The 24,518-nt window shown below is 43.7% G+C and overlaps 1 protein-coding gene across 19 annotated transcripts in view, besides 4 other annotated features; it reads left to right on the forward strand.

Annotated features, from left to right (window-relative positions):
• Positions 15,845–15,894: a silencer, noted in NCBI's record as "silent region_19117". NCBI's record gives its function as "represses an Ori minimal core promoter by ATAC-STARR-seq in GM12878 lymphoblastoid cells {active_cell/tissue: GM12878}" and the evidence as "EXISTENCE:reporter gene assay evidence [ECO:0000049][PMID:35858748]".
• Positions 16,465–17,134: a silencer, noted in NCBI's record as "silent region_19118". NCBI's record gives its function as "represses an Ori minimal core promoter by ATAC-STARR-seq in GM12878 lymphoblastoid cells {active_cell/tissue: GM12878}" and the evidence as "EXISTENCE:reporter gene assay evidence [ECO:0000049][PMID:35858748]".
• Positions 16,465–17,293: a biological region, named in NCBI's record as "H3K27ac hESC enhancer GRCh37_chr8:38089405-38089904".
• Positions 16,492–24,518, forward strand: part of DDHD2 (DDHD domain containing 2) — a 42,063-nt gene continuing 34,036 nt past the window's right edge. For 15 of the 19 annotated variants that reach the window (XR_007060723.1, XR_007060724.1, XR_001745504.3 and 12 more), the window contains exons 1-5: positions 16,492–16,766; positions 17,894–18,121; positions 19,301–19,491; positions 22,445–22,534; positions 22,996–23,116. Coding sequence is in view for 12 of the 19 variants with exons in the window: in XM_011544456.3 (XP_011542758.1) it covers positions 17,902–18,121; positions 19,301–19,491; positions 22,445–22,534; positions 22,996–23,116 (622 nt within the window). In the remaining 7 variants the exon portion in view is untranslated. Of the gene's footprint in view, positions 16,820–16,859; positions 17,052–17,893; positions 18,122–19,300; positions 19,492–22,444; positions 22,535–22,995; positions 24,000–24,518 lie in introns of those variants that run through there. The other 4 variants (NM_001362914.2, XM_047421615.1, NM_001164234.2 and 1 more) reach the window with 3 other exon arrangements.
• Positions 16,794–17,293: an enhancer, noted in NCBI's record as "H3K27ac hESC enhancer chr8:38089405-38089904 (GRCh37/hg19 assembly coordinates)". NCBI's record gives its function as "activates a minimal SCP1, AML or CMV promoter by ChIP-STARR-seq in naive H9 embryonic stem cells {active_cell/tissue: H9 hESC(naive)}" and the evidence as "EXISTENCE:reporter gene assay evidence [ECO:0000049][PMID:30033119]".

The following is a 24,518-nucleotide window of genomic DNA, read 5'->3' on the forward strand; positions in this document are numbered from 1 at the left end:
TACTAAAAATACAAAAATTAGCTGGGTGTGGTGGCGCATGCCTGTAATTCCAGCCACTTGGGAGACTGAGGCAGGAGAATCACTTGAACTCAGGAGGTGGAGGTTGCAGTGAGCTGAGATCGTGCCACTGCACTCCAGCCTGGGCAACAGTGAGATTCCGTCTCAAAAAAAAAAAAATAAATAAATATATATATATAAAACATATAAATATATATTAGAAATATATATTTAAAATATTAAATATACATTAAATATGTAATATATATTTAATATATAATATATATTTAAAATATATATAATATAAATATATATAATATATATATATAAATATTTTATCAATTTCAAACTTCTGAAGAGTCTATCCTGAACCCTTCTGACTGGAAAACTAGTATGTTCCTGGCATAGTACATAGGGTCATGCTGTGGATTCTTTTTGTCTCTTCTTTTGGTTTTCTGTTTTTTGTATCCTATGTCTTTCTCTTTTTGTTTATTCCGTCATTTGGTGGAGCATATTCTCCAGGTGCTTCCTGGAAAAGGGTGCATGGGAAATAATTTATTTTGATCTTGCATATTTGAAAATGTCTGTTCCACCTAGCCAATGGATTGATAGTTTGGCTGGGTATAGAATTCTAGGAAATGATTATCTTAAGGATTTTGAAGGCATTGTTATATTGTCTTGTAGATTCCAGAATTGCTGTTGAGAAGCATATGCCATTCTGATTCAAGATCCTTTGTATAAAACCTGATATTTTTCTCTAGAAGCTTATAGAATTTTTGGGGGGGCCCCATTTGTTCTGAAATTTCCTAAGAATAGCTTTGGTTTAGGTCCATTTTTATCCGTTTTGCTGGGGCCATTTCATTCTGGCAACTCATACCATTAAGTCCTGTGAAATTTTTTGATTTTTTGTTTGTTTGTTAATTTCCCTCTTTCCTCCATCCCAGTCTTCTCTGTTAATACTTTCTAGAATTACTACTGTTTTGACTGTAGGCCTCATAGACTGGTTCTTTAATTTTCTTATGTTTTCTGTTTGTTTGTTTTTTTTTTAATGTTTTGCCTTTTTGTGGTACTTTGTAGGAGATTTATACAACTTTATCACTTTTTATTTTTATTTTCTGTGTGACAGGGTCTCATTCTGTCATCCAGGCTGGAGTTCAGGGGCACAATCTCTGCTCACTGCAACCTCTGCCTTCCTGGTTCAGTTGATCATCCTGCCTCAGCCTCCTGAGTAGCTGGGTTACAGGTGCACACCGTCACAACTGGCTAATTTTTTTTGTATTTTTTTGTAGAGACAGGGTTTTGCTAAGTTGCCCAGGCTGGTTTTGAAATCCTGAGCTCAAGCGATACACCCACTTTGCCTTCCCAAAGTGCTAAGATTACAGGCATGAGCTACCATGCCTGGCGAACTTTTTCTTCTGACTTCTAAAACATTGTGTCTTACATTTCTTCCATCTTTTTTTTTGGTTTTTTTTTTAGAAAGACTGTCACTCGGTCACCCAGGCTGGAGTGCAGTGGTGTGATCTCAGCTCACTGCAACCTCCAACTCCCAGGTTCAAGCAATTCTCCTGCCTTGGACTCCCGAGTAGCTGGGACTATGGGGACCCACCACTACGCTGGCTAATTTTTTGTATTTTTAGTAGAGATGTGGTTTCACCCTGTTTGCTAGGCTGATCTTGAACTCCTGACCTCAAGTGATCCACCCACCTCCACCTCCCAAAGTACTGGGATTATAGGCATAAGCCACCATGCCCAGCCTCTTCTATCATTAAAAAAAAAAAAAAAAATTGGCTGGGCGTGATGGCTCACGCCTGTAATCCCAGCACTTTGGGAGGCCGAGGCGGGAGGATCACAAGGTCAGGAGATCGAGACCATCCTGGCTAACATGGTGAAACCCCATCTCTACTAAAAATACAAAAAATTAGCCAGGTGTGCTGGCAGACACCTGTAGTCCCAGCTACTGGGGAGGCTGAGGCAGGAGAATGATGTGAACCCGGGAGGCGGGCTTGCAGTTGAGCTGAAATCGCACCACTGCACTCCAGCCTGGGCGACAGAGCGAGACTCCATCTCAAAACAAACAACCAAAAAAACAAACTTTTGGCCAGTTGCAGTGGCTCACTCCTGTAATCCCAGCACTTTGGGAGGCCGAGGCGGGTGGATTATGAGGTCAGGGGTTCGAGACCAGCCTGGCCAACATGGTGAAACCCCGTCTCTACTAAAAATATAAAAATTAGCTGGGTATGGTAGCACATGCCTGTAATCCCAGCTACTCAGGCTGAGGCATGAGAATCACTTGAACCCAGGAGGCGGAGGTTGCAGTGAGCTGAGATCGCGCCACTGCACTCCAGCCTGGCGACACAGTGAGAGTCCGTCTCAAAACACACACACACACACACACACCATTTTTTTAGAGACAGGATCTGACTATATTGCCCAGGCTGGTCCTGGTCCTGAATTCCTGACCTCAAGTGATCCTCCTGCCTCAGTCTCCAAAAGTGTTAGGATTACAGACATGAACCACTGCGCCTGGCCCTATCATATTTTTAACTTCCAAGGATATTTTTGTTTGCTGGGTTCCTTTATGAGATTCTGCTTTTGTTTACAGTTGGAGCATCTTGTATCTCTGAGGATATTAATGATGATTTCTTGGTGTTTTCTTCTTTCGAATAATGGATTTCCTCAAAATTGCTTTTTTCTTTTAGTCTTTGTCATTATCACATTATCACGTTAGAGGTATTTCTCAGATATCCGTTTTTTTTGTTTTTTTTTTTTTTTTTTTTTTTGAGATGGAGTTTCACTCTTGTTGCCCAGGCTGGAGTGCAATGGCATGATCTCTGCTCACTGCAACCTCCGCCTTCCGGGTTCAAGAGATTCTCCTGTCTCAGCCTCCTCAGTAGCTGGGATTACAGGCATGTGCCACCACACCCGGCTAATTTTGTATTTTTAGTAGAGACGGGGTTTCTCCATGTTGGTCAGCTGGTCTCAAACTCCTGACCTCAGGTGATCCCCCCTCCTCGGCCTCCCAAAGTGCTGGGATTACAGGCATGAGCCACCACGCCTGTTCTTGCTTGTGTGTTCGTGTGTGTGTGTGTGTGTGTGTATTTATTTTATTTTGGAGACAGGGTTTTATACCATAGCCTAGGCTAGAGTGCAATGGTGTGATCCTAGCTTGCTGCAGCCTCAACCTCCCAGGCTCAATTGATTGTACCCTAGCCTGCCCAGTACCTGGGACTACAGCCATGCGTCACCACACTCAGCTAATTTTTGTATTTTTTATAGAGATGAGGTTTTGCCATGTGGCCCAGGCTGGTCTTGAACTCCTGGGCTTAAGTGATCTACCCATCTCAGCCTCCCAAAATGCTGGGATTCCAGGCATAAGCCACCATGCCTGGCCTTGTATTCTTTGAAGTATGGTTTTGTTACTCTAGAGACCCAAAATTATTTTTATTATTATTTTTTTGAGACGCAGTCCTGCTGTGTCACCCGGGCTGGAATGTAGTAGTGAAATTTTGGCTCACTGCAACCTCTGCCTCCTGGGTTCAAGCGATTCTTGTGCCTCAGCCTCCCTTGTAGCTGGGATTACATGCGTGTGACATTGCGCCCAGCTAATTTTTGTATTTTTAGTAGAGATGGGGTTTTGCCATATTGGTCAGGCTGATCTCGAACTCCTGGCTCCAAATGATTCTCCCATCTCGGCCTCCCAAAGTTGTGGGATTACAGGTGCCAAAATTACCTTTAGAAAATGTTTCTTGACTATTCTGCTTAATTACTTTTTTATAATCTTTCTTGGAGCGGATAGCTATTTTAAGTCTGAAATTGGGAAGAGGAGGCTAGCTGCATGATTTTCACTCTTATATGAAAACAGGAAGGTTTTACATTCTGGCTTTTCTCATGGGGAGTAGTGACCACATTTGTCATGATAAGTGGAAGGCAGAGTAAGGACCAGCTGCGAGTGAGGATTTAGGTGCTTCTGGGATCATGGCACATTTTCTCTCAGCCAACCCCTAAATGTCCTTTTATTTTGCAATATATATTTCCAAAATTGGCTAAGACCAAGAGTAGAATTGACAGATGAAATACAGAATTCCCAGTTAAATTTGAATTTCAAACAATAAATCATTTTTAATATCAATATGATCCATGCAATGTTTGGGAAATACATATACTAAAAGATGATTTGTTATCTGAAATTCAAATTTAACTAGGAGTACTGTTTTTGGTTTGTTTGGTTGGTTGGTTGATTGTTTGAGACAGAATCTCACTCTATTACCCAGGCTGTAGTGCAGTGGCATGATCTCAGCTCACTGCAAGCTCTGCCTCTCAGGCTCAGGCAATCCTCCCACCTCAGCCTCTCAAATGGCTGGGACTACAAGTGCATTCCACCACGTCTGGCTAATTTTTGTATTTTTTTTTAGAGATGGGGGTTTTGCCATGTTGCCCAGGCTGGTCTCGAATTCCTGAGCTCAAGCAATTCGCTCACCTCAGCCTCCCAAAGTGCTGGGATTACAGGTGTGAGCCACTGTACTTCGCTGTATATTTTACATTATAGTTTTTGAGGTACTTGTAGATTTACATGCAGTTTAAGAAATAATACAGAGGCCAGGCACAGTGGCTTACATGTGTGAGCAGCATAGTGAGACCCCGTCTGTACAAAAAAATTTAAAAATTAGCCAGGCGTTATGTGGCATGTGCCTGTAGTCCCAGCTACTCAGGAGACCGAGGCAGGAGGATCACTTAAGCCCAGGAGTGCAAGGTTACAGTGAGTCATGATGGTGCCACTGCCCTCCAGCCTGGGCAACTGTCTTTAAAAAAAAAAAAAAAAAAAAAAGGTACTGCAGAGATTTCATGTACCCTTTACCCAGTTTCCCTTGGTGGGTAAAATGTAAAACTTTACTGCAAAGTTACAACCGGGATACTGAAATTGATATAAAGATGCATCACTGCTGTTTATCCCTCCTGTTGACCTTTTTATAACTACATGATTCCCCTCTCCCCCTACACTAAAACCCTGGCAACTACTAGTCTGTTCTTCATTTCTAAATTTTGTCATTTCAGGAATGTTATGTAAGTAAAATCATACAGAATGTAAGCCTTTAGAGACTTGACTTTTTTTTTTTTCGATCAGCATAATTATCTTGAGATTCATCTCAATTGTTTTCTGTATAAATCATTATTTATTTTATTTATTTATTTTTTTTGAGACAGAGTCTTGCTCTGTTACCCTGGCTGGAGTGCCATGGTGTGATTTCAGCTCACCACAGACTGAACCGCCTGGGGTCAAGCGGTCCTCCCACCCCAGCCTCCTGAGTAGGTAGGACTATAGGCGTGCACCACCACTCCTGGCTAATTTTTAACAATTTTTTGTGGATTTGAGATCTCACCATGTTGCCCAGGGTGGTCTTAAACTCCTGGGCTCAAGTGATCCTCCCACCTCAGCCTCCTGAGTAGCTGGGACTACAGGTGTGCACTACTACTCCTGGCTAATTTTTTTTTTTTGAGACAGAGTTTCGCTCTTGTTGCCCAGGCTGGAGTGCAATGGCACGATCTCGGCTCACCACAACCTCCGTCCGCCTCCCGAGTTCAAGCGACTCTTCTGCCTCAGCCTCCTAAGTAGCTGGAATTACAGGCATGCACCACCATGCCCGGCTAATTTTTTGTATTTTTAGTAGAGACAGAGTTTCTCCATGTCGGTCAGGCTGATCTCAAACTCCCGACCTCAGGTGATCTGCCCACCTCAGCCTCCCAAAGTACTGGGATTACAGGCGTGAGCCACCACACCCAGCCGACTCCTGGCTAATTTTTTATAGATTTGGGGTCTCACTATGTTGCCCAGGCTGGTCTCGAACTCCTGGGCTCAAGGGATCCTCCCATCCTGGCCTCCCAATATACTGGGATTACAGACATGAGCCACTGTGCCCAGCCAATTGTTCTTTTTTTATTCCTATGTAGTTATCTGTAGTATGGATGTGCTATAGTTTGTTTAAGCATCCACCTATTGAAGGACATCTGGGTTGTTCCCAGGTTTTGGCTGTTGAATGAAGCTTCTGTGTACATTCTTGTACAGGTTTTTGTGTGGATATAAGTGTTTATTTATTGGCGGGGCGCGGTGGCTCACGCCTGTAATCCCAGCACTTTGGGAGGCTGAGGCGGGCAGATCACGAGGTCAGGAGATCAAGACCATCCTGGCCAACATGGTGAAACCCCGTCTCTACTAAAAATACAAAAATTAGCTGGGTGTGGTGGCGCGTGCCTGTAATTCCAGCTACTTGGGAGAATCGCTTGAACCAGGGAGTCAGAGGTTGGAGTGAGCTGAGATTGCACCACTGCACTCCAGCCTGACGACACAGCGAGACTCTGTCTAAAAAAAAAGAGTTTTTATTTCTTATGAAATGAAATAATGCCTGTGAGTGCAATTCTGGGTCATATTTTAGTTGCACATATAATCCTTAAAGAAACTGCCATATTTTTCTGGAGTGGCTATACCATTTTACATTCTTACAGGCAATGTATGAGTTTCTCTGTATCTGTGCCAGTATTTGGTATTATCACTATTTTTTATTTTGGCCATAATGATAGGTGTGTTTTGATATGTCATTGTTGTTTAACTTGCATTTCTCTAATGGTTAATGATGTTGAATATCTTTTCATGTGCTAATTTGCCATCTGTATATTCTCTTCTGTGAAATATATTGCAAGTGTTTTGCCTATTTTCTAATTAGGTTTATTTTAATAAACTTTTAATGTTAGGATAGTTTAGTCTTACAGAAAAACTGTGATGATACTTGATACTACAGAGAATTCCTATACGCCCCTCACCCAGTTTCCTCTATTAACACCTTAACTCAGTGTTGTGCGTCGGTCATAATGGATCAATACTGATTCTTACTAACAAAAGGCCATACTTTATTTAGTTTTCTCAATTTTTACCTAATATCCCTTTTCTCTTCTGAGATTCCATCCAGGATACCACCTTACATTTGGTCATCATGTCTCAGGGGCCTCTTGGCTTTGACACTTTCTTAGGCTTTCCTTGTTTTTGATGACCTTGACAGTTTTGCCGAGTACTGGCAAAGTAATTTTTTAGGACATCCCTCTATTGGGATTTGTCTGTTTTTCTCATAATTAGATGGGGGCTATGGGTTTTGGGGAGGAAGACCACAGAGGCGACTTACCCTTCTCATCAATCATATCACGGGCATATGCTATCAACATGACTTGTACTGTTAACATTAACCTTAATCACCTGGCTGAGGTAGTGTTGGTCAGACTTCTTCACTATACAGTTAGTCTTTTTTGTCCATTTTTCACACTATACGCTGGAAGAAAGTCACTATACACAGCTGTACACTTAAGGAGTGTGGAACTTATTCTTCATCTCCTTGGGAGTGGAATATCTACATAAATTATTTGGAATTTCCCTACAAGGAAGATTGACCTAATCTCTTGTTTATTGAGTATGGACTCATGGATATTTATTTTATACTTTGGGTTATGCTCTAATGCTACCTTATTCATTTTGTTGCTCAAATTGTTCCACTTTGGCCACTGGAAGCTCTTTTCATTGATTCCATTATCCTTCTGACATACACCCATCGTTTTGTGGGTTTTTTTTTTTAAGCCCTTCTAAACTTTCTGCTACTGTGAGATGCTCCAGGCTCATCCTGTATTTTTCCTATTCCAGTCCAAGAATCAGTTATTTCTCCAAGGAGTCCTGTGTCCTCTAATTGAAGAATGGTAGTAGAAACCAAGATTTAGCTCTAATTTTTTTTTGTCTTTTCATTAGTGAGTTTTGAGAGTTCTCTGTTTTCTAGATACTAGACCTTTGTCAGATATGTAGTTTGCAAATATTTTATCCCAGTCTGTAGCTTGTCTTTTCATCCTCTTAAGAGAGTCTTTCACAGAGTAAAGTTTTTAATTCTGATGATGTCCAGTTTATCATTTTTTCCTTTAAAGGATGGAGATTTTGGTGTAAAGTCTCTAAGAACTCATTGTTTACCCCTAGTTCCTGGAGATTTTCTCCTGTTTTTTTTCTAAACATTTTACATTTTATATTTCCATTTGCTACATTTACATTTGCTCAGTCTGGCAACCCTAGCTGAGAAGAAACCTTGGCTTGTTGGAAACCTCCCAGGGCTAGAGGAGAGCCACCTTGCTGCACAGCTTCAACTGAAGCTATTACTTGCTCTCAAAACAAATTTGGCCCTCATTTAAGTAAGACAGAGAAATCATAAATATAAATCACCTTCCTCAAAGTGAAATATCTAAGAGAAATTATTCACGTTGAGGGCAGGAACTTTTCAGTTGTGGCTGTAAAGTAATAAAATGCATTTTCATGTTTGGTTTATGAGCTTATAAAAACCACTGAGTTTGGGCTGGAAGATAACATCACTGTGGTGTCTCTAATGTTTCTTCTAATTCTAACATTCTTACTTTATCAGTAAGTGGTATAGCTGAAAACTCAAGTCTTCTTGTTTCCTGATTCAAAGAATCTTGCCTCACAGCTGTAGCTTTCATATTCTTGATTAAAGTATAGATTCATTTTCTTAGAGTTCTCCAGAGAGACAGGACTAATAGTATAGACAGAGAGATGACAGGGGATTTATTAGGGAATTAGCTCATGTGATTATGGAGGCTGAGAAGTCCCAGGACATGCCATCTGCAAGCTGGAGACCCTGGGATGTCCGTAGCGTGGCTCTCTCCAAGTGTGAAAGCCTCAGAACCAGGGAAGCCAATAGTGTAATTCTGTCTGGGGCCAAAGGCCTGAGAACATGTGAGGCTGCTGGTGCAAGTCCTGGAGTTCTAATGTCCAAGGTCAGAAGAGTGTCTCAAGCTCCAGGAGAGCGAGAGAGAGAAAAGAAATCGCCTTTTCTTTTTCTTTTCTTTCTTTTTTTTGATGGAGTCTCACTCTGGAGACTCAGAGCTGGAGTGCAGTGACTGATCTCGGCTCACTGCAACCTCTGCCTCCTGGGTTCAAATGATTCTCCTGCCTCAGCCTCCTGAATAGCGAGGATTACATGCACGCGCCATCACGTCCGGCTAATTTTTGTATTTTTAGTAGAGATGGGGTTTCATCATGTTGATCAGGCTGGTCTCGAACTCCTGACCTCGTGATCCGTCCACTTCGCCTCCCAAAGTGCTGGGATTACAGGCATGAGTCACCGCACCCGGCCCTTTTCTCTGTCTTCTTTGTTCTGAGACCCCAGCTGATTGGATGGTGCCTTCCTGCATTGATCTCCCCCACTCAATCCACAGACTCACATTCCAATCTCCTCCAGAAACACCCTCATGGACACACCCAGAAGTGATGCTTCACCAGTTCTATAGGTATTCCTTAATCCAGTCAAATTGACACCTAAAATTAAGCATCACAAGTCCACCTCTTATCAACTTGGCACCCATATGCATCTCTGTAAACCATATTTAATCTCAAAATAAAGATAATAGCAAGGTATTATTTCTGCCTACCATGATGCAACTATCCTATGTACAATGAGAAATGCATTAATCCCATCCCGAGAAGAGAAGGTGAAGTTCTTGGGTGATATTTACTCTTTTCCTGATATCCCATAACTTAAATACTATGATGTAAAATTAACAGTACTTAAATGTTGATGTAAAGTCAATATGTCTTATGTTGTATTATAAAGAAATAAGGAATAAAAACAGATATTTGCTCAATATATGCATATGGCTGGGTACTGTGGCTCATGCCTGTACTCTCAGCACTTTGGGAGTCTGAGGTGGGAGGATCACTTGAGCCGGGGAGGTCGAGGCTGCAGTGAGCTGTGTGATCATGCAGCTCTACACTGCAGCCTGGGTGACAGGGAGATCCTGTCTCAAAAAAAAGTATATATGTGTGTGTGCGTGTGTGTGTGTGTGTATATGTGTGTGTGTGTATAAATATACACACGTGACTTTTTTTTCAGACAGAGTGATATGGTTTGGCTGTGTACTCACCCAAATCTCATCTTCAATTGTAGTTCCCATAATACTCATGTGTCATGAGAGGGACTCGGTGGGAGGTAATTGAATCATGGGGGCGGTTACCCCCATGCTGCTGTTCTCGTGATAGTGAGTTCTCATGAGATCTGATGGTTTTGTAAGGGGCTTTTACTCCTTTTGCTTGGCACTTCTTGCTGCTGCCATGTGAAGAAGGACGTATTTGCTTCCCCTTCTGCCACGATGGGAAGTTTTCCGAGGCCTCCGCCACTATGCTGAACTGTGAGTCAATTAAACTGCTTTCCTTTATAAATTACCCAGTCTTGGGTATGTCTTTATTAGCACTGTGAAAACAGGGTAATACACAGGGTCTCACTCTGTTGCCCAGGCTGGAGTGCAGTGGCATGATCTTGACTGACTGCAACCTCCACCTCCCAGGTTCCAGCGATTCTCTTGCCTCAGCCTCCCAAGTAGCTGGGATTACAGGTGTGTGCCACCACCCCTGGCTAATTTTTGTTCTTATTTTATTATTATTATTTTTTTGTAGAGACAGGGTTTCACCATGTTGGCCGGGCTGGTCTCAAACTCCTGGCCTCAAGTGATCTACTCAGCTCGGCCTCCCAAAGTGTTGGGATTACAGGCATGAGCCACCACACCCAGCCTGTATGTGACTGTTTCTTAATGAAACAGTCTTTGTTTCTGTAACATGGTTTTAGCTGGTATTTATAACTACTACCGCCCATTTGTAGAATAAGTTAGTTATAAATACCAGCTAAAACCCTTATTCTGTATTCCCTTTGCCTTCAGCAAGCACCTTAGCTAGTTGTTGTGGTTCTTTACCTGGCAGGGTGACCCAAACCTTCATTCCTGAAGAGTCTGGGCCATTTGTAGTCCTGTCTAGATTGGGTTGTTGTAGTTTCCCACAGACCTTAATCTCGGAGCATGGTAATACTGAGAGACGCCCTAAGGCACCGCCCATATTCCACACTTACTCTTCCTTACCTTCACTAGGGAGTAGTAGGCCAATTTCCCCTTGATAGTCTGGATCAGTCACCCCAGCAACATAGTAATTCCCTTCTTGGCCTTTTGACTCAGATGCATGAGGAGCCCAAAGTGGCTGGGTGTCAGTCTGAATTTCCAGTTCAGTGGAATCGTTGTGGTTCCTGGTGGCAGCATTCCTCCCTGTGGAACTAAGACCTTTAGGCCAGCAGAGCATAAAATCTTGGGAATAGGCAGCAAAAATTTTGCTAGTGGGTCACTAGGGATAATGGTGAGTGCTGCCACTCCCATTTCTGCCCCTTGATTCCTGGATGTATGAATCCTGGCTATGGGAGAAACAGTTCCATATATTGGATGCCGATTCAGAGCACCTATAGGTTGTCCCAGTCCGGCTAAGTATTACCACCTAGCTGGTGCTGTAACTGTGATTTCAAAAGACCATTTCACCACTCTGTCAAGCCAGCTGCTTCAGGATGGTGGGCAACATGGTAAGACCAGTGAATTCCATGAGCATGAGCCCATTTTCACACTTTCTTGGCTGTGAAGTGAGTCAGAGCACTGCTGGGTCAGAGCACTGCTGTATGGAACACTATGACAGTGGATAAGGCTTTCTGTAAATCTAGGGATGATGGTTTTGGCTGAAGCATTATGGGCAGGGAATGCAAATCCTATCCAGTGTCTATTCTAGTAAGAGCAAAACATTGCCCCTTCCCTGATGGAAGCCATCCAGTGTAATCAGCCTGCCACCAGGTGGCTGGCTGATCACCCCAGGTAATGGTGCCACAATCAGGGGCTCAGTGCTGGTCTCTATTGCTGTCAGATTGAGCACTCAGAGGTAGCCACAGCCAGGTCAGCCTTGGTGAGTGGGAGTCCATGTTGCTGAGCCATGCAAAAACATTTATGCCTGCTACCATGGCCAATTTCTTCATGAGCAATGACAGGGGTGACTGGGCAATGACAGGGGTGGCAGGGGCCAGAGGCTGACTAGTATCCACAGAATAGGTCATCCTATCTACTTGGTTATTAAAGTTCTCTTCTGCTGAGGTCACCCTTTGGTGAGCATTCACATGGGACACAAATTTATCTTCACACCTTCTGCCCCCTCAAAGAGGTTTGTTCACCACCTCACATGCCAATCTCTTCTGGAAACACCCTCACAGACACATCACAGACACACCCAGAAGTAATGTTTTACCAGTTCTCTAGGTATTCCTTAATCTAGTCAAGCTGACACCTAAAATTAACCATCACAATATGGACCCCTCTGATTAAGTGTTCTAGTCAAATCAGAATCTTGTTGGATTCTGAAAATCTACGTTTTAATCTATGTTTCTGAATCTACATTTCAGATCATGTTGGATCTGAAAATCTACATTTTAAGAACCTACTTAGGCCTGGGTGTGGTGGCTCATGCCTGTAATCCCAGCACTTTGGGAGGCCAAAGTGGGAGGATCGCTTGAGCCCAGGAGTTTGAGACCAGCCTGGGCAACATAGTAAGACCCTGTCTCTACAAATAAAAAAATTCGCAGGATGTGGTGGTGCACACCTGTGATCTCAGCTACTTGGAAGGCTGAGGTAGGAGGATCATCTGAGCCTGGGAGGTCGAAGCTGCAGTGAGTGGTGAAAGTTTGAAAATCACTGTCAGAGCCCAAAGCCCTGGTCTTGTTATTGTATAGTCAGCGTCAGAGACAACTGTGAAGTTTTCTTCACTCTGGATGCCTAGGTGTTAATCTGGGATTGAGGACTTCTGCCTCTAAAAACAATGATTCCAGCTTTGGATATAAGATCCAGTTGTTTATGACCCCTACATTCTTGGTTTTGCTCTTTAAACAACTTACTGGCCATTAGCGTTATCTTCTGCACTAGGAGCATGGGGTCAGCAAGCTACTACCTGAGATCAAATTAAACCCCTGCCTGCACTTTACTGGGACACAGCCACACTCATCAGTTTACATCTCCTCTCTGGTTGCTTTAGTGCTGCAACAGGAGAAGTGATTAGTTGTGACAGAGCCTTATGGCCTACAGAACCTAAAGAATTTATCTGGCCCTTTACAGAAAAAAAGTTCGCTGCCTCTTGCACTAGAACATTGAAAGGGAAAAAGTAGAGATTGTTTTACATTTTACCTGTTAAGGCTTGTCTGGTAAAAGGCTGATATACAACCACAAACAACAGCCAGTAACATTAAGTGTGTTTTTATTATTTATTATTTAAGACAGAGTCTCGCTCTGTCGCCCAGGCTGCAGTGCAGTGGCAAGATCTCAGCCACTGCAAGCTCCGCCTCCCGGGTTCACACCATTCTCCTGCCTCAGCCTCTTGAGTAGCTGGGACTACAGGAGCCCACCACCAAGCCTGGCTAATTTTTTGTATTTTTAGCAGAAACAGGGTTTCACCGTGTTAGCCAGGATGGTCTCGATCTCCTGACTTCGTGATCCACCCGCCTCAGCCTCCCAAAGTTTTTACAGGCATGAGCCACCGCGCCCGGCCATGGGTTTTTATTTTTAAGGGGCACAGTAAGATATTCTATTTGTCTGAAACTACCTATGTATGCAGACTTTTGGGGAACCTAAAATTTATACTGTGTGGATCCCAAATACTTGCATCCAGATCATGTGTGGTAACTATTTAAAATGCAGATTCCTGCTGGGCACTTTAGGAGGCCGAAGTGGGAGGATCACTTGAGCCTAGAGTTCAAGACCAGACTGGGCAATGTAGTGAGACCCTGTCTCTAAGAAAAATTTAAAAATTAACCAGATATAGTGATTACGGCTCACTGCAACCTCCCCTTCCTGGGCTCAAGCCATTCTCCCGCCTCAGCCATCTGAGTAGTTGGGACTATAGGTCTGTGCCACCATGCTCAGCTAATTTTTTTTTTTTTTTTTAGAGGTGGGTTTCGTCATGTTGCTCAGGATGGTCTCAAACTTCTGGACTCATGCAATCCGCCAGCCTCAGCCTCCCAAAGTGCTTGATTACAGCATGAGTCACTGTGGCCCATAAAACCATTTTGTTGCATACCAAAAGTAAGATGGTGGTGTCTTGAAGAAAAAGAACTTGAGTGACTATTTGAATTGGAAGCTGAACTAGATGCTCTTTTTTCATGCAACATCATTTTTATTTGAAAGTATAAGGGACAAACTATGGCTATTTGTATGTAAGTATTTAGCAGAAATTTATTTGAAAACAAAGGAGACTTGTCACTTCAAGGAAGACAATTTATCATTTGTTGCCAATGATAAAATTTGACCTTTTAAGAAAAAAGCAGAATATTGGAAAACTTGTACCTGCTACTCTGAGCTTGACAGCTTCCCAATATTAAAGACTTTTCTGATGAGATCGGTAATTTTTAAAAAATTGTATAATAAAATATATTAACATTTGGAAGATCTACATAGCTCAGTGAACTGATACTTTCCCAAATGAACAATACATGTCTTAAGTCACACATGGGTAAGAGATCCATTCAAAGTGCAAGATAGGCTGCTTTGCCTATGGAGTAGCCATTCTTTTATTCCTTTACTTTCTTAATAAACTTGCTTTCACTTTACTCAAAACAACAAAAATAAAACAAAGTGCAAGACAGAAAAATGGATTTTAATAGTATCAGAATATGTGAAGTTTACTGATATATTTTCAAACTGCACATTGCAATCCACTTTTTTTTTGAGACAGCCCTCCAAATTTGAGAACAGCTGGTATGGAGGCTACAACAGGATTTGAAGATAGAAAACCTAAATTCAAGTTCCAGTTCTGTCACTTACCTGACTGATTTTAGACAAGTTACTTAGGTGCAGGCTCTGAAGTCACACTGTGTGGGTTCGTGATTTTAGCTCCACCCCTTGCTAAATCGGCCTGCCTGGGCCTCCCAAAGTGCTGAGATTAACAGGCGTGAGCCGCTGTGCCCGGCCTTGCAGAAGCTATTCTAAGTGTAATAAATTTGAAGGGAAGGTGTTAACTTGGGGATATTTGTGTGTGGCTGTTAATTTGCAAAGAGAATAAATGTGTTATAAAAAATTGTTTTCTTTTTCTGTTTGTGAAGAAATAACAAAACTGAAATAGGCCGGGCAAGGTGGCTCACGCCTGTAATCCCAGCACTTTGGGAGGCCGAGGCGGGTGGATCACGAGGTCAAGAGATCGAGACCATCCTGGCCAACATGGTGAAACCCCGTCTCTAGTAAAAATACAAAAATTAGCTGGGCGCGGTGGCGCATGCCTATAATCCCAGCTATTCCGGAGGCTGAGGCAGGAGAATCGCTTGAATCTGGGAGGCGGAGGTTGCAGTGAGCCGAGATCGTGCTACTGCACTCCAGCCGGGTGACATAGTGAGACTCCGTCTCAAAAACAAAAAACAAAAAACAAAAACACAAAAACTGAAAAAAAATGCCCTATAATCTAGTTAGAATATAGGAAAATATCTTTTTAAATACCAAAAGGTATTAAAATGAAATACTAAGGAGAGTCGGGCAGGGCCTGTACTCGACCTCATGACTGCGGGAAATTTCTCTTTTTTTCTTTTTTTGAGATGGAGTCTCCCTCTGTTGCCCAGGCTGGAGTGCAGTGGCTGCGATCTTGGCTCACTGCAACCTCCGCCTCCCGGGTTCAAGTGATCCTCCCACCTCAGCCTCCCAAGCAGCTGGAATTACAGGCGCGAGCCACCACCCCCGGCTAATTTTTATATTTTTAGTAGAGATGCCGTTTCACCATGTTGGCCAGGCTGGTCTTGAACTCCTGGCCTCCCAAAGTGTTGGGATTACAAGCGTGAGCCACTGCGTCCAGCCCCTTTCAACTTTTCACCTCAGTTATGTCTTCCTGTTTGGACAGCAGTATCTCATCTCCAACCTCCCTGGCATCTTTTAAATCCTGTTAAGGTTGCCTCTACAAAACAAAACAAAAAAAAATTATTAATTTTATTGTTTGTTTAGAGACTAGTGTCGCAGTGTTACCCAGGCTGGAGTGCACTGGCGCCATCTGGGCTCATGCAGCTGGCACCAATGGGCTGGGGCGCTCCTTCAGCCTCAGCCTCCTGAGTAGCTCAGACCCAGGCGCTGACACCACGCCCGACACCTCTACATTTTTTAGGGATACCTTTTTGGTAACCTCTAAATCATAATAAATGCACGGAGGACGGGCCAAAGCCTTTTTGCCTGGCAAATGCTAGTGACACCCGTTCTCAGCACCCAGAAGCAGAGGCCAGGAGCGGGGCGGCTGTGGCTGCGCCCTCCGCCCTACTCCGCTAATCCCGGGGCCGCGCAGTCCCTGCGTCCGGTGATCACCGCGCTGCTCCTGGCGCACTAGTAGGGTCTGTAGCGTATCCCGAGGATCATTCCGACTTTCCCGCCCCGTACGTGAGGGGCCGCCTTGAAGCCTCTTCCGCCACGGACACTCGAAACTGATCTTGAAGCCCCTGCCGTCACGGATACTAGAAACTGATCTCGAAGCCCCTTCCGCCACGGACACTCGAAACTCTCCCCCACTGTTAGACCTCAGCAGCCAGCAGCCCGCCGCCCGGCGCTGCAGCTCCCTGCCCGCAGGAGCCACGTCTCGCGCGACTCCCCCCACCTCTCGCGACACTTGCCGCCCGTGCCCTGCGGCCCTGCACGCCCCACCCGCGGTCGCGCGCCGCGCTCCCCGCCGCCTCACCTTTTCGCCTGGCATCCGGGCCCGCTACTCGCCCACTGGGAGCGCCGTGGCGCCTGGTGTTCGGCGCGAGCCCGGCGGGGCTGCAGGTTCCGCCCTGCTCCGCCGCGCCCCGCCCGGGCTGGGGTAAAGGCCGCGGCCGGGCCATGCAGTGTCCTCCTCAGGGAGGGCAGGAGAGCCTGAGGAGTGGCGGGGCCGCCAGGTGAGACCGCGTCGGGCGGGCGGCTGGACCGAGGGAGGCCAGGCTGGGTGCAGGTGGGCGGCGCAGCGCTGCGGGGCCGGGATGCGGGGCGGGGGAACCTCGGCTCCCGGGAAGCCCCGAGCCTGGGGGAACCCTGGGCACCCTGTGAACCCTGTGGTCTGCACTGGCTGCCCTGCTGCTGTCGCGGGGCTGCGGGCGGACGACCTGAGCCCGAGCTCCGAGGGCCCGGAGCGGGGCGCCAGGGCCTAGGGTCGCGGGGGCCAGGGGCGCGCCAGGGTGGCTGAGGTAAGTCTGTGTGGGGAAAAGGACAATGGAGCCGAAAGCCGGCGTCTGCCGTCCCGCCGGGCCCGCGCGAGATGCCCTCCTGCCCCCCGCCCTACGAGGCAGCTTAGAAGTGTCCTTCTGGTGCCTGCGGCGCTGATCGTTGCCGAGTGGAAGGAGTGTTGGAGAGGTAGAAACAGCTGGTCAGAGCCGCCTCTGCGGGAGGAGGCTTTTGAGGTCGCTTGTTAGCTTTCATCTGAGATTCTGGCTATGGGAGTGGGCGTGCGTGTGCGCACCGTGGCCCCAGGCGAGGTTTCGTCTTTTCCCAATTTGTACCACCACCCATTAAGCGACTTCAAGGATCCATCAAAAATGATTGGTTCCTAAGCGAACAGTTTTATTTTTTGTATTTTAAGATTCCATTAGTTGTGTAATGGTAGGGGCCTGGAGCCCAAAACCTTGGCGTTACTAGGACAGGGCATGACCCAGCTGACTTGGAGTAAATTTTCTGCCTTTAACTACATTTAGATTGGAAATTAGGGTAAAATGTTTTTGTTGCAATCTAGTTTCGAGCATGTGGTCCTGTGATTCTGGGTTTGTTTTATAACTTATGGACTGAGTAAAATTACCCAGTTTACTGAGAGAATTGAGAACTCTGTGCAATGGTTGATCTAATAGAAGCATTTTATTTAAAGCTTCCACCCATCCAGTTGCTAATTTATGTTATTTCTCTTTTAAATTATGTAGATTTTGTTGTTGTTGTTGTTGCAGAAATGGCTCCGTAAAATGATTAGTTTTGTGCGTGTGTGTGTGCGAACAGTTACACAGTTAAGTTCGTTTTCCTGATAGTTTTCTTTTGTCTTTAGAGAGCGAAATGTCATCAGTGCAGTCACAACAGGAGCAGTTGTCCCAGTCAGATCCATCTCCGTCACCAAACTCATGTAGTTCCTTTGAGCTAATAGACATGGATGCTGGCAGCTTGTATGAACCAGTTTCTCCCCATTGGTTTTATTGTAAGATAATAGATTCTAAGGAGACATGGATTCCTTTCAACTCTGAGGATTCACAGCAGCTGGAAGAGGCATATAGCTCTGGTAGGTGAAAATTATGACTTGGAATAGACAAAGACTCTCCCCTCTTCAAACTATAATATAATGGTCCTTATAGTGAGTGCTATGAAAACCAAATTTTAGATTTTTCCAGTTACATAATTTCTTACAGCATTTTATATAGAACTTCTGCACTAATACCTAGCCAATCAATAATATTCAAGAATTTGGTCTGTATTTTGAAAACAGTATCTATTATTATTTCTGCATAGTTACCCAATAATTTTTTTTTCCTTAGAGTTGGGGGCCTAATTATATTGTCTAGGCTGGTCTTGAACTCCTAGGTTCAAGCAATCTTTCTGACTGGGCCTCCCAAAGTGCTGGGATTACAGGCGTGTTACACCCTGTGCCCAGCCCCCCAGTAATATCTTTAATGTTCTAGCTTATGTTTTACTTTGTTTTATAAAGAATGTGTAAGGCTGGGCACAGTGGCTCACACCTGTAATCCCAGCACTTTGGGAGGCCAAGGCGAGCAGATCACTTGAGGTCAGAGTTTGAGATTAGCCTGGCCAGCAATGGTGAAACCCCTTCTCTACTAAAAATACAAAAATTAGCTGGGCGGCGGGGTTTGTGCCTGTAGTCTCAGCTACCTGGGAGGCTGAGGCAGGAGAATTGCTCAAACCCGGGAGGCGGAGGTTACAGTGAGCCAAGATTGTGCCACTGGACTCCAGCCTGGGTGATAGAGTGAGACTTGTCTCAAAAAAAAAAAAAGAAAAGAAAAGAAAAAAGTATGTATAGAGTGGGGTGCAGAAGAATGAACTCTCTAACTTGTCACTTGTCTTTTCTTCTTTTATAAAACAAGAATGATTCTATTTATACTGAATCATCATGATGGTTATTAATTTACCTTATGGTTCCTCAAGCAAATTCAGAAAAATCACATTATATAATTTTTTTAAGGGGCACTGCTATCTTTCCCCAGAAAAAGAACAAAACTGGGTAGTATTTTTTTCATATTTCATTAAAATCAGGAATGGTTTTGACGGTTTGTAAAGTAGGTAGTGAAAAAGATATGAATTAAATTCCATTTTGTTTGGTGTTTAGTCAAGTAGGAACTTTTCATTCATGTGTTTCATAACATTATTTAGAGTATAACTGAGAATTGTATGTTGGGAGATTTATTTTGAAATATGTACTTCTTTTCCCCTTTTCAATCCTTGAAAGGAAAAGGTTGTAATGGGAGAGTTGTTCCTACTGATGGGGGCAGATATGATGTTCATTTGGGGGAGAGGATGCGGTATGCTGTATACTGGGATGAACTGGCATCGGAAGTGAGACGATGTACGTGGTTTTACAAGGGGGACAAAGACAATAAGTATGTTCCCTACTCGGAGAGCTTCAGCCAAGTTTTAGAGGTATTCTTTTGACTCTTTTTTTACTTATTCTTTCTTTCTCTTATTTAATAATCTTTTCTTTCCTTTGTAATTTATTTTGTGAAATTTCCAGAAAGACTTTGGTTCTGTCTGCATCACATTATAAAACATAATAAAGCATTTCTATTTACAAGCAAGTTTCAGGATAAAGTAGTCTTATTTTCAGATTTTTTTTTTTTTTTTGAGACGGAGTCTCGCTCTGTTGCCCAGGCTGGAGTGCAGTGGTGCGATCTTGGCTCACTGCAACCTCCACCTCCCCGGTTCAAGTGATTCTCATGCCTCAGCCTCCCAAGTAGCTGGGATTACAGGTGGCCGCCACCACACCTGGCTAATTTTTTTTAAGGGGCACTGCTATCTTTCCTCAGAAAAAGAACAAAACTGTTTGGGTAGTATTTTTTTTCATGTTTCATTAAAATCAGGAATGGTTTGACGGTTTGTAAAGTAGGTAGTGAAAAAGATATGAATTAGATTCCATTTTGTTTGGTGTTTAGCCAAGTAGGAACTGTTCATTCATGTGTTTCATAACATTATTTAGAATATAACTCAGAATTGTATGTTGGGAGATTTATTTTGAAATATGTACTTCTTTTCCCCTTTTCAATCCTTGAAAGGAAAATATTGTAATGGGAGAGTTGTTCCTACTGATTTTTATTAGAGATGGGGTTTCACCATGTTGGCTAGGCTTGTCTCGAACTCCTGACCTCAAATGATCTGCTGGCCTCGGCCTCCCAAAGTGCTGGGATTACAGGTGTGAGCTACTGTGCTTGGCCTTTTTCAGATTTTAAAATACGATGGAAATGGTTGTGGTGTTTTAAGGTGTAAAAAAAGAAAAAAATACTCCGGGCCTGGTGGCTCACGCCTGTAATCCCAGCAGTTTGGGGGGCTGAGGTGGGCGGATCACCTGAGGTTGGGAGTTTGAGACCAGCCTGACCAACATGGAGAAACCTCGTCTCTACTAAAAATACAAAATTAGCTGGGCACGGTGGTGCACGCCTGTAATCCCAGCTACTTGGGAGGCTGAGGCAAGAGAATTGCTTGAACCCGGGAGGTGGAGGTTGTGGTGAGTGGAGATCGCACCATTGAACTACAGCCTGGGCAACGAGCAAAACTCCATCTCAAAAAAAAAAAAAAAAACTGGTGGGCACAGTGGCTCTCACCTGTAATCCCAGCACATTGTGAGGCCAAGGCAGGAGGATGACTTGAGCCCAGGAATTTGAGAACAGCCTGGGCAACAAAGCAAGACCCCACCACTACAAAAAAAAGTACACGCGCACACACACACACACACACACACACACAAATACAAATGCAAACTGTATTATGCTATGGTCACAGGATTGATCTTTTTTAGCTTTTATTTTTCTTGCTCTGAAAACTGAAATTTTTCTTTAAATTGGAGTAGAGCGTTAGTATTTTTTGTTGTTGTTGAAACAAGAGTGTCGTTCTGTTTCCCAGGCTGGAGTGCAGTGGCACGATCTTGGCTCATTGCAAGCTCTGCCTCCTGGGTTCTTGCCATTCTCCTGTCTCAGCCTCCCAAGTAGCTGGGACTACAGGCGCCCGCCACCACGCCCAGCTAATTTTTTGTATTTTTAGTAGAGACGGGGTTTCACCGTGTTAGCCAGGATGGTCTCAAGCTCCTGACCTCGTGATCCGCCCGCCTCGGCCTCCCAAAGTGCTGGGATTACAGGCGTGAGCCACCACGCCCAGCCTTTTTCTTGTTTTTGGTTTTTTTTTTTTGCTTTTTTTGTTTTTGTTTTTGTTTTTGTTTTTGAGACAGAGTCTCACTCTGTTGCCCAGGCTGGAGTCCAGTGGTGCGATCTCGGCTCACTGCAACCTCTGCATCCTGGGTTCAAGCACTTTTCCTGCCTCACCCTCCTAAGTAGCTGGGATTACAAGCGTGCCTCACCACACTGGCTAATTTTTTTTTTTTGAGACGGAGTTCCACTCTTGTTTCCCAGGCTGTAGTGTAGTGGCGCGATCTCAGCTCACCGCAACCTCTGCCTCCTGGGTTCAAGCGATTCTCCTGCCTCAGCCTCCCGAGTAGCTGGGATTACAGGCATGTGCCACAATGCCTGGCTAATTTTGTATTTGTAGTAGAGATGGGATGGGATTTCTTCATGTTGGTCAGGCTGGTCTCGAACTCCCAACCTCAGGTGATCCACCCGCCTTGGCCTTCCAAAGTGCTGGGATTATAGGCGTGAGCCACCGCGCCCGGCTCACACTGGCTAATTTTTGTATTTTTAGTAAAAATGGGGTTTTGCCGTGTTGGCCAGGCTGGTCTCGAATGCCAGACCTCAGGTGATCTTCCTGCCTTGGCCTCCCAAAGTATTGTGATTACAGGCATGAGCCACCACGCCTGGTCTAGAACATTAATATTAATATATTAAAATGTGAACACTAATTATCTAGCGTAGATGATGGAATTAGGAGTATTTTTCCCCCTTTGTCCTGGTGCTACTATCAGTTGTAATTTCAAAATAATTTAAAAATAGGCTGGGTGCTGTGGCTCATGCTTGTAATCCCAGCACTTTGGGAGGCCGAGGCAGGCAGATCACCTGAGGTCAGGAGTTTGAGACCAGCCTAGCCATTATGGCCAAACCCCGTATCTACTAAAACTACAAAAGTTAGCCGAATGTGGTGGCGGGTGCCTGTAATCCCAGCTACTTGGGAGACTGAGGCAAGAGAACTGCTTGAACCTGGGGGGCGGAGGTTGCAGTGAGCCGAGATTGTGCCACTGCAACCCAGCCTGGGCGACAGAGTAAGACAAACAAAACAAAACAAACAACAACAACAACAAAAAGATTTAAAAATAAATTTGATAAATTGGAGTAGGATATTCTTATTGAAACTCATTAATACATAGTATTCTTGTTAATAGGTTCAGTTTAATAGGAAAGCTACTAGAGAACTCTAATGAAATGTGTTTTCTTTTAAGGAAACTTACATGCTTGCTGTAACTTTGGATGAATGGAAAAAGAAACTGGAATCTCCCAACAGAGAAATTATTATTTTACACAATCCAAAGGTAAAACAAAGCATTTCTCTTGTCGGGATAAAAAGTTAATTGCGCTATTAGGGAGAACTCAATTGGTTTCTTTTGCTAAGCACTCTGTGTAGGATAACCTTTGTCAAATTTTATATTGAATTCACAGTTATGAAACTTAAAAACTTGTAGCCACTACTGTTATTTACCCAACTCAGCTTATACAAAATAATTTTCTTATGGAAAATTATGCCACTGTAGAATAAGAAAATCACTGACATATTATGTGAGCATGTCTTCCATGTAGAAAGGGACTATTGACAGATCTGTTAGCCTAATATATTTTCACGGTTCTCATTTCAAGCCATACGAGTTGTATATCAAAACTCCAGTTCAGATTTTACTGTGTGGTTTGAAAGACATGATTCTACACTTAAAACTGCATTGTATAGAGATGATTGTATTGCAGAATATTTTTATTGCTCTGATCTGTTCTGTTTAAGCTTATGGTGCATTACCAGCCAGTTGCAGGGTCTGATGATTGGGGTTCAACACCCACGGAGCAGGGTCGACCAAGAACTGTGAAGAGAGGAGTTGAGAACATCTCTGTTGACATTCATTGTGGTAATGTTAATCGTTTATTTTTTCTTACCTTTGGATGTATTTGTTTACTCCTTAAATTGTGACCTTTTTCTGTGGATTTAGATTACCTCAAGGCTTAAAAATCATCTTTAATCATATGGGTTTATTCCAAGTTGAGATTAGCATCACTTCGTCTACTAAGAATCTTAATAGATGTAAAAATATCTTTTAAAACATATGGTAGGATGGGTAAAATTTGGCAATACTATCCAGGAAGTCACTAAGTACAGATGAACTGATTTAGTCCTAATTCCAAGAAGTGTGATTCCACCTACTTGACTAGAAATTTATACCTGGTAATAACTCCTTGTCCTTGAAGATTTTCAACTAAGGAAAACTGTTTTTCAGCAGGACCTGATTATGCACTGCTATCTAGGTAGGGTCACTTATGGTTTTATAATATATTTAATTGGATTATAATATTCCTTTTTTCTTGTCTCTTGGACAAAATCCTAGCTTTACTGTAATTTAAAAAGATGAGTTTAAAATTTCAGGCTTTAAAAACATACCAAACATTGATAAAAATGAAATACTAGATAAAAGTATTTTATCAATGTTCAGTTGCCTGGATTCAATAACTGTATTATGGTTATGTAAGATAATATACTTAGGAAATACACATTATGGTATTAAAGGGTTAAAGAGGTATGGTGCATGCAACCTGATGATGTATGTAGTCTGCTTTCTAATGATTCAGAAAAATAAATGTGTGTGTGTGTGTGTGTACACACACAGAGAATCATAAAGCAAATGTAATTGTTAAAAAGTTGAATCTCTGTAAAAAGTATGTGGGAGTGTCTGTACTATGCTTTCTAGTTTTCTGTACATTTCTAGTTATTTAGAAATAAAAAGTTTTAAAAACCTGGCTGCACGTGGTAGCTCATGCCTGTAATCCCAGCACTTGGGGAGGCCAAGGTGGAAGGATCACTTGAGCCCAGGAGTTCGAGACCAGCCTGGGCAATATGGCGAAACCCTGTCTGTACAAAAAATACAAAAATTAACTGGGCATGGTAGCACACATCTGTAGTCTCAGCTATTTTGGAGGCTGAGGCAGGAGGATCACTCGAGCCCAGAAGGTTGAGGCTGGAATGAGTGTTTATCATGCCACTGCACTCCAGCCTAGGCGACAGAGTGAGACTCTGTCTCAAAAAAAAAAAAAAAAAAGTTTTTAAAACCTGAAAAAAGGCCAAGTGTGTTGGCTCACGGCTGTAATCCCAGCACTTTGGGAGGCTGAGGCGGGCGGGTCAGGAGGTCGAGACCATTCTGGCTAACACGGTGAAACACCCTGTCTCTACTAAAACTACAAAAAATTAGCCAGGTGTGGTGGCGTGTGCGTGTAGTCCCAACTACTCGGGAGGCTGAGGCAGGAGAATCGCTTAAACCC

Source organism: Homo sapiens, chromosome 8 (genome assembly GCF_000001405.40).
Source record: "Homo sapiens chromosome 8, GRCh38.p14 Primary Assembly".
NCBI lineage: Eukaryota > Metazoa > Chordata > Mammalia > Primates > Hominidae > Homo > Homo sapiens.